Genomic DNA, 10,059 nt, shown 5'->3' with positions numbered 1-10,059 from the left:
GTAGGCTGTATCTTTCAAGAAGTTTGTTGATTTCATCTAATTTTTCTAACGTATTGGCATACATTGGCTAATAATATACCATTAAAATTGTCAAGAATGTGAAGGGCTGAGATTTTACCCTACTTGCAACTTAAGTTTATCTGCTATAGTTTCATGGATGCTGCAGAAGACACAAGACTCTCAGTCAGAGATGGAGAGTTCATTACTCACAGCAATAGCAGTAAAGTATCAGCATTTTTTCAGCAGTTCCCCAAAATCTAGTTACCACAGGGTGACACTAAGAGGGCCAATAACACCTGCATATGCAGGAGGTTGTATTACAGAAGGGAACACTAATTCTTAGGGAAACCTAGAATTTCATAATGATCAGTAATCATACCTTCCCTTTATTCTACATGGTGTCACTATCTGTATGTATCTCACGAGGCTGCAAGAAAACCTGATATTACTATCAGAATCATTGCTAGAGAGTTCACTAATTAACATAAAGGTTACTTATTTAATATATTTATAAATACTCATAGAACATTTATTATATGCCAGACCCTGATCTAAGCAATTTGCGAATATCATCTCATTTAATTCTCATAATAACTCTACAAGGTAGGCATAGTTATGATTCCTATTTTACTGATGAGAGAAAAGAGGCACAGAGAGTTTAAATAACTTGTTCAAGGTTATGTGGCTAGTAAGTGGTACAGACAGATTTGAACCCAGACAGCCTGACTGCAGAGCCTACATTCTTTATCATCATACTGTGCTGCCTCTGTTGGAAATCATTGTTAGTTGGTGAAATAAGTGGTATTTAAAATATGTTTGTTGACCCAAAATCATATAAAGACACCTCTATAAATGTTGCATAACAATATTGCATCATAATATTACATATTAATAAGAACTAAGGAGCCCATTGGCCTAAAGCTCTTTGAAGAAGCCCTCAGGCCAAGGATTCCATTTAATCCATCTACCACTTAATGGAAAATGCCGTTGTCTAATTCAAGTAGAAGATTAGCTGATTCTAATGCTAAAATATTCCCACATTCTTGCAAGACAGATGTTTGAGGGCCTAACATCTGAGATGGGACTTCACCAACCTTAGAGGTTGTATGGCATTTTTAGTGCCTGTTTCCTAATAAAAATTTGCATTTGCCACAATATTTGGTCTGAGATTTGCCTTTATTATAACATCCTATCTTTTGGTAAGACTGTGGGTAGAGTTCTCATCTACTGTTAAGTGCCAGAGATCACAGACATTTACCAAAAAGAACCAGATAATTCTGAAAGGCTCAATTGGCTTTAGCTCAGTTAACAATGTCATGTTTGTCTGACTCAAAACGTCTGTGCTTTTGTTCAGGTTACAGCTAGGTTTTAATAATCCTCCATTTTGTACTTTAGAAAAATACAACTCAATTATTTTTTTTTCTTGAAAGAGGTTGGCAAAAAAGTTCCAATTGTGCAAATGGCTAAGAGTGAAAAGAAAGTTTCACATCTACCCCTGTCTTAAAGTCCTCCTTTGTAGACAAAACCACTGTATTTACAAATTCTTCCAGAAGTATTTTATGTGCATATAAACATATGTTTTTAACCTATTTTAATTGTCTTTTATGTGTCATCTCGTATCCCCAAATACATTTTGTGTTCATTGAGGGAACATTGTTTATTCCATTTTTTATTCTTCTACACTGCTCAATGTAGTTTCTCGAAAAGAGAACTCTCAATAAATGTGTTTTGCTGTTTTCAGTTTGGGTAGGATGAATAATCAAGAAAGGAGAGATATGTATCAAATTAAAGGTGATGTTCTGGCGTCCAAATACCTGAAAACTTCAGACTGTTAAGTGAAATTGTACACATACCAATTAGAATGGTTAACTTTGAATCAGAAGTGCTTTCATTTACGTATTTATGACTATATTCTAAATATCCCCAAATTTCGGCGGCTTTAGTTACAAATGAGGCCATGTTAGCATATATCTTTATTTTGTTAGCTGGCTGATTACCACTGGTACAACCTGTAAAACTCCCTAGCCATTCCTGGGATTCACATGTATTCACAAAATCACTCTAGCGCTATTGCATTTAAGTGTTTTTGAGAGCTGCTGGGCGCAAGCTGCCTTACAGTGACCTCTGTGCAAATGGCACTTCTCTATCCAGCATACTTTCTTACAGCGCTCCCCAAGCTGCAAAATCTCCACCTTGCCGAAGACTACTGGATTCCTCTCCATTTTTACTGCAACACTGGAGCCATGCTATGTTGTTTGCAGAAATGATAAAATACCCTTTCCCCAGCTCTGCCTTGAAGATTGTTAATCTGGTGCTAATCTCACAAAGTTCTTTGTGTAAACAGCCACTTCAACCTTTCTCTGCAGCCTTTTTTCTGTATTATGGTTCAGAGTGAGTCCCTAGGGCAGGGTATTAAATGAACTAGATACTGTGCTTTGTGTTTTTTTTTTTTGGACCAAGCATCCACACACAAAACTGTTCTCTTCTGTCCCTATTTGGCCCCTATAAATGGTTGCTGAAGGAGGGATGGCTGTTGCCAACCAAACAAATCCAATCTCAACTGTGTAACATTTACCCTAGTTGGTTTATCTAGTGGAAACATAGAACGTGGTTTACCAAAATGCCTGGTATACGGCTTTATATCCTATTTGGTGACATTTAGAACTCTATATTTTGGACTATCTCTAAAACATCAGCATTTTTCTTAATCTTCTCAAGTGAGGAACCTTTGAGCACTGGGTTGTAAATAACTGTGTTTTCGTAGTTCACATATAAAGCATTATGTTGAAATCAATGGGCACACACTCTGAATACTGATTTGATAGAAATGCTTCATTGATTTTACGAGAGCTAAGCCAAATTCATTAACAACTTAGACTCATTAGGAAGACACCATTAATTCAAGGAAAAATGATTAAATTCTTTTATTGTATTTTACAAAGCATTACACATTAATTAGAATTTAGTATATTTGGTTTTTAGACTCTTTCCATTTCTTCTATGGACCTTTACAGAGAACATATCTGTTAGTTTGCTTATCAAATATTTATTTGTGTTAGTCACTATGTTAAATTTTGTGTGAGTATGTGAATTGTAGGATGGGTTTTTAAAATCCTTAATCCTCTTGGGTGAAGTGCTTACTCTCCCCTCCTGCAGTTCTGATTTATTCCAAATTTGGAGAGCAGAAAAATGGTAAATTGGAGATAAGAGACTGAGGTTCCTTAGAATAATGCATCAGCACTATGCAGTCAGATGAAGGAGTTTCATCTGGCTCTGGGCAGAGAGAAGCAGTTTCCCTTTGTCCCTTCTTTCTGCAAAGGAGACACTGGTTGAGATGAGTGAGAAGTGGAACTAGGGCGAAGAGGGCAAGTGAGTAAGAGAACTGTGAGAGAAAGAAAGAAAGGGAGAAGGAGACAAAGAGGAGAGCCTGACAGCCCTTTGAGCTGGGCTCAATAGGGACTGGCAGTGCCTCTAGGAAAACAAAAAGGGCTCCTTTTACCATCTTCGGAAGCTGGATTTACCTCTGATCTTCTCTTGGTAAAATTTACTTTTGGGCAATGGGCTGCCCAGTTGAGGCAGTGCTAAGAGATCTAGGGTTTTTGTAGCTCCCAAAATCTTTGTCAGAATCCCAAAGCCACCCACGTAGCCCAAGTGAAAATGGTATGCTAACCATGCAATTGTCTTTTAAATGAAATTTCCAATGCCTTCCCTCCCTTTCCTCCCAGATTTCCAGCTCTAAACCCCTTCTTTGTAGGAATTCTGGAGCGTACTGCCCTTCCAGCATTTAATGGCACAGCCAAAGGATTATCCTGTATGCATAAAACACCATCCCTTTCTTTTTAGAGCATACACTTTTGAAAAAAAGAAAAGGCATTACACAAATCACTAAAATAAAATCAGAAAAAACCCTGTTCAGGAATAGTGTTAGAAAAGAAGACAGAGGTTTGAAAGATATTGTGAATTTGACTGATTTGAAGTAGGGGTCAAAGGAGGAAGAATGAAGACCACTCTGCACTTGTGTGTCAGATTGACTGGAAAGTTAGTATAGATTGACTGGAAAGTTAGTATATCATTAACAGAAATAGATCATGTGGGTTGGGTGTCTGAGGGGAGAATAACAGGATTCTCACTAGGGAAATGTCGAGTCAAAGGAGGAGAAAGGACAGATTGGGGGAGAAATAAGGTGGGCACGCAAATATTTGGTTCTGTATATTAAGAGTGTTCTCAGCTAGAGACAGATTTGGTGCCATTCTGGATGCAGGTGAAACCTGAAGCTCTAATAGGATAATTTGTTTAGCTGGTTAAGGGAGAAAGAACAGATACAAATGAAACACAGAAGAACAAGGAGAGCAAAGCTTTATCAAAGCCAAAGGAGAAGAGAGAGAAAGAAGAATGAAGGGATCAGTTGTATAAAATGTGGCTGAGAAATTAAAAAGGTTGAGCTCTGAGTAAAGTCCAAAAGTGGTCATAAGTGACGATAAGGAGGTTGTTGGATGGGAAAAGGAGCCAGCTTGTGTTGGAATAAGGAGTGAATGAGTAAAGAGGAAGTAGAGGCAGTGACTGCTAATTTCTAAACGACTGAACAAATGCCTTGCATAATCAGTGCATTTAAAAGTTTGTGTGATTTATATTTCAAAGCTCACCAATGGTGAGCAAGATGAGACATTTAAAAGGTTTTCAGAGGCAGTGAAACAATAATTATTCAAAGGTTTTCAGATGTAGTGAGATAATTTGTCTATGAGAGGATAGTTGGTGTCAGAATTCTTTTGGTGGAGAGAGAAAAGTTAAATCATCTATATGTTAAAGAATAATCAATATATGAAGAATATTTTTTAAATGAGGCAATGGTCTCTATCCTGTGCGTGCACTATTTAGATTTCTCTGAAATCCCTAAGATATAGTTTATATCTTTAGAGGAAAGTAATTTTACATTATTTTATAACAGGGTTAAAAAAGGTAGTTTTTATTTCTAGTTCCTTAATACAAAATTAGCTAACTAGATCATTTATTTTTCAGTATCATCTTTTAGAGAGTAGGTTTCCAAGGTCTTAATACTTATTAAGTAATAGACCTTACTATAAATGAAGATTTGGAAACATCTTAGATTTCTGAAAACAATCAAAAGATTAATGTAAAAGAAACTTAATTAAAAAAGAAAAAAGTTCTAAACGTTTAGCAGCTCTTCTGTGTCTTTGAGTTGAATTGCAAATATACCATGATGAGAAGAATCTAATTTCTCATAATTAGTTAGAAGACATTTAACATAGCTCTAGGAAAAATAGAAACTATTTTAAAGCATAAGAACATATCAACCTTATGCATAGGGATTCTTGATTTTAGTGAAATCGCTTTGATGTGTTTGAAATCCTTCTCTTGAGTATCACACTATCTAATGTGTTACGCAATCGAGGGCACACTAAGAATTGCAGAGGGCAGGATTATTTTTCCAGCCAGACATCACATGGATAGAGAACCTAGCTGGAAACAATATGAGAATTCTTTTAAAAGAATTTAAAGCAAAAATAGTCTCACTATTGATCTTTTTAGTATGTAAGAAAGCTACAGGGCTCATCTTAATCTTTTTTTTAACCTAAGGCACAATTCAAAATACTGAATAGATATGGAAAATGTCATTTCCCATGCATATATTGAATAGGATCTATAGAATTTTGAGTGTACTAAGTTAGGAAAAATTGTCTTTGCCTGAAAGATATCTGCAAACACCGATTACTTAGTTATTTTTTGAATAATTACTAATTTTATTAATAATATTGGCACTTTTTTTTACAATTGTTGACTGAACCTCCCACTAATACAGAACACAGAATTTTAGATGATTTGGGGGAAACACAGTAACTTGATCAACTGAATCCTGTGCTTTCCAAGCTGGGGTCTATTTTTACAGGGAGGCAAGTATTAGCTTTCTCCTTCAATACGGCGTAAAGTGAAGGCGTCAGATTTGTTTGTATCCCAACTCCCCTCTTTACTACTGTGTGACCTGGCAAGGTTTTTTTTTGACCATCAGTTTCTACATGTAGAAAATGAGGAAATATGTACCTTACAGGATTATTGAGAGGATTCAGTGACAGATGTGGAGCTCCTGACTCAAAGTAATTCTCTTTGTGGTGATATTTCATACATTTCTTCCTTTTTTTTTTTTGACAGAATCTCACTCAGTCGCCCAGGCTGTAGTGCAGTGGCGTGATCTCGGTTCACTGCAAGCTCCACCTCCCGGGTTCAAGTGATTCTCCCGTCTCAGCCTCCCGAGTAGCTGGGATTACAGGCACCTGCCATCATGGCTGGCTAATTTTTGTTTTTTAGTAGAGACGGGGTTTCACCATGTTGGCCAGGCTGGACTTGAACTCCTGACATCAGGTGACCTGCCCACCTTGCCCTCCCAAAGTGCTGGGATTACAGGCGTGAGCCACTGCGCCCAGCTGGCATTTATTTCTTTTTTAAGTAAATAACTGAAAACAGAGAGTGCTATACAACTTTGTGTCAGGCACTGAAACTTAGTGTATGGTTTTCTACTTAAAATTTTTTTCATTTTATTTTTATTTTTAGACAGAGTTTTTCTCTCTCTCTCTCTGCCACCCAGGCTGGCATGCAGTGGCACAATCTTGGCTCATTGCAGTCTTGACCTCCTGAGTTCAAGTGATCCTCCCACTGCAGCCTCCAGAATATCAGGGACTACAGGTGCACAACACCATGCTCAGCTAATTTTTGTCTTTTTTGTAGAGACAGGGGTCTCACTATGTTGGCCAGGCTGGTCTTGAACTCTTGGGCTCAAGCACTCTGCTCACCTTGGCCTCCCAAAGTGTTGGGATTATAGGCATGAGCCGCTGTGCGTGGCCATGGGTTTCTACTTCTAATGTGCCCCATTGCTGCAGAGTCCATCCTTGCTTTTTCATGTACAAAAGAGACTCACCTAGCTCTTGGGTTGGACCATATAAAATTCCTGATATTCAACCGGGCGTGGTGGCTCACGCCTGTAATCCCAGCACTTTGGGAGGCCGAGGCGGGTGGATCATGAGGTCAGGAGATCGAGACCATCCTGGCTAACAAGGTGAAACCCCGTCTCTACTAAAAATACAAAAAAAAAAAAAAATTAGCCGGGCGCGGTGGCGGGCGCCTGTAGTCCCAGCTACTCGGGAGGCTGAGGCAGGAGAATGGCGTGAACCCGGGAAGCGGAGCTTGCAGTGAGCCGAGATTGCGCCACTGCAGTCCGCAGTCCGGCCTGGGCGACAGAGCGAGACTCCGTCTCAAAAAAAAAAAAAAAAAAAAAAAAAAAAAAATTCCTGATATTCAACATTTTTGACCTATAAGAATGACATATGTTTTCGTATAATTCAACCTAATAAATTCTATTTAAACCATAAAGTTCAACTCAGATCCTAACATCCAATGTGAGACTGAAGATGAACAGTTTCCAGGACCCAATAATGGCTCTTCTTTTTCTGTCACATTTCCTGTCCTATTTATTCTGACATTTCTTGCATACTATTTTGTACTGTTGGCAGTATTTCCATATGAATGTGTCTTGCCTTCTCAACTACTTTGTACATTCCTTGAGGCAGCCCATTGTCTGTTCTCCATTGTGGTGCCAGGCACAGTGTTGCATATAATATTTGCCGGGTAAATTTTTTAAATGATGCTAATAATAATTAATTAATTCATAACTATTGACCTGACTGCTCTGAGAATTAAAAATTTATATCGTGTTTTCTTTTAACATTTAACCGTCCATGTGTCTAACATCAAAGAAGGAAAGTTCTTTCATTTTGAGGAATCTTCTGTTGCTAATGTATGCAATGATAATGCTGTTCTTGGTCTACATAAAGGTTGCTACTGATTAGTAATTCAGCATGACTCAGGTTATTGTTCCACTAAAGGTCCTGGAATTCCAGTAATCATTATGCTCTCTCCTTAGATTCCACTTGGATAAAGAACTAGAAGAGTTGGGCCGGGCATGGTGGCTCATGCCTGTAATCCCAGCACTTTGGGAGGTCGAGGTGGGCGGATCACTAGGTCAGGAGTTCAAGATCAGCCTGTCCAACATGGTGAAACCCCATCTCTAGTAAAAATACAAAAATTAGCTGGGCGTGGTGGCTTGTGCCTGTAATACCAGCTACTTTGGGGGCTGAGGCAGGAGAATCGCTTGAACTCAGGAGGCGGAGGCTGCAGTGAGCCAAGATTGTGCCATTGCACTCCAGCCTGGGCAACAGAGTGAGACTCAATCTCAAAAAAGAAAAAGAAAAAGAAAAAGAAAAAGAAAGAACTAGAAGAGTTAGGTGGTTAGCCAAGGTGAGTAGAACAAAGTTAAATTAACTAGTCCACGTGCGGACAGATCCTTTGTTGTTGGTATGATGTATATTGTGTATTGAATCAACCCCAACGGCCAAACTCCAACACCAAACACAGCTTATTTAGGAAAAAATGATATTTTCCTTTGGAATTCTAATCACATATCTTCAGTCAGAAATAAGCGAGGAGGAATCAGGGTTAGTGTATGTTGCAAAGGGCTGGAGCTGGCAGAAGGACTATGTTACATAGGTTTACATTTGGTAAAACTAAGGACAGATGTTCAAATCAAGAGCCTCAAAAGAGCTTCAAAGTCAAAGGAAACTGCCTAAGTGAGTCACCAAAATAAGGAGGAAGACTCAACGCAGGGCATTGTTGAGGCTTGAGGTGGCCAATTAATCACACATCTTTTGACTCTGGGTTTATTTTATTAATAGATATGAATTTGAAATGTGCCTTGTGCCCAGGGCCCAAGTAGATTCCTGCTTTTTCTCCCAGGGAATCAGACTGATTTAGCCTGTGATAGGCAGAGCAGCTGGGCATCTCCAGGGCAACCCGCGCACTTCATGGAGGGGAGAAGGCCTGCAGATGAGAGAACAAAAGCCACAGAGGATAGGCTGCCTGCTTCGAACAGCTCTTCTCCGAGGCTGGGCCATGAATGATGCCACTTCTCTTCCTATGTGGAGAGCCCAGTGAGAAGTATAGAGAAGGGAAGATGTTTCTCCTTAAAATTCAGCCAATGTCGCAACTTCTAGTTTCAAGCCTGGGAAAAATTCAGGGCTAGGGAGAGAAGTCCCCTGCCCTCTCCTCCCAACCTAGTGAGAACGAACTTGAAGGTTTGAGGAAGAAGGCTGAATGTAAAACTGGCAAACAGTCTGGACAAATGCCAGAGAGAAGTGCTTGGCTGAAGCCAGCACTTAAGGGCTTCCTGAGGAATGAGTGTGGACTGGCTGGCCTCAGAATAAAGGACTGAGACAAAGCAGATGCCAGAAGTCTATTGAATTTTCACTTTGTTGTTTCAGTATCCTCTTATGCTTAATGTCTTCAGTCTTTTGCTTCTGGCTATGATGAAGTTACTGATACAAGGCTAGCCTCATGCCGTCAACAACCATGAAACTGAACAAAATACATGTGGCAACGCTTTCCAGACTGTGGAAAACAGGCAATGCAAGATTGATCCCTGAAAGAAAGAAAAATCACAAGGTAAGACCCATAACTGACCTGAATGTACCTGGGAAACATTTCCCAACCACAGCACAGGGGGCTAGAATTCACAGTGGTGATGTTCTGCTTGAAGAGATCGAGGTTAGAGTTCAGGACAGCAGAAGCAGTTGGGACAGGTGGGTACTGAAGAGGAAGAAGCTGTGTACAGGTACAGAAGTTGGTATGGTGGTTCCGCACCAGTCCTGATTGAGGACTAAGCTGGATGTGGGCTGGGTGAGACTACTCAAGGCTTATCAGAGAGCTGAGGCTTGAGGTTGTAGGATTGAGGGACTAGAGCTACTAATGCTGGGGACTTGGAGTTCCAGCCCAGCCATAGGAGAGAAATCCAGTTAACATTTCACTGATATTTATTTATTTGTTTATTTATTTATTTATTTATTTATTTATTTTTATTTTTGAGACAGAGTCTCACTCACTCTGTTGGCCAGGCTGGAGTGCAGTGGCGTGATCTTGTCTCACTGCAGCCTCTGCCTCCTGGGTTCAAGTGATTCTTGTGCCTCAGCCTCTCAAGTAGCTGGGAATACAGGTGTGTGC

General features: G+C 39.5%; 1 annotated feature.

Moving 5' to 3' along the window:
- Positions 1,836-2,337: an enhancer, noted in NCBI's record as "NANOG hESC enhancer chr12:19158395-19158896 (GRCh37/hg19 assembly coordinates)". NCBI's record gives its function as "activates a minimal SCP1, AML or CMV promoter by ChIP-STARR-seq in primed H9 embryonic stem cells {active_cell/tissue: H9 hESC(primed)}" and the evidence as "EXISTENCE:reporter gene assay evidence [ECO:0000049][PMID:30033119]".

This window comes from Homo sapiens, chromosome 12 (genome assembly GCF_000001405.40).
Source record: "Homo sapiens chromosome 12, GRCh38.p14 Primary Assembly".
Taxonomy (NCBI): Eukaryota; Metazoa; Chordata; class Mammalia; order Primates; family Hominidae; genus Homo; species Homo sapiens.
Note: the sequence above shows the minus strand (reverse complement) of the source record. Positions and strands in the feature narration are given on the sequence as shown.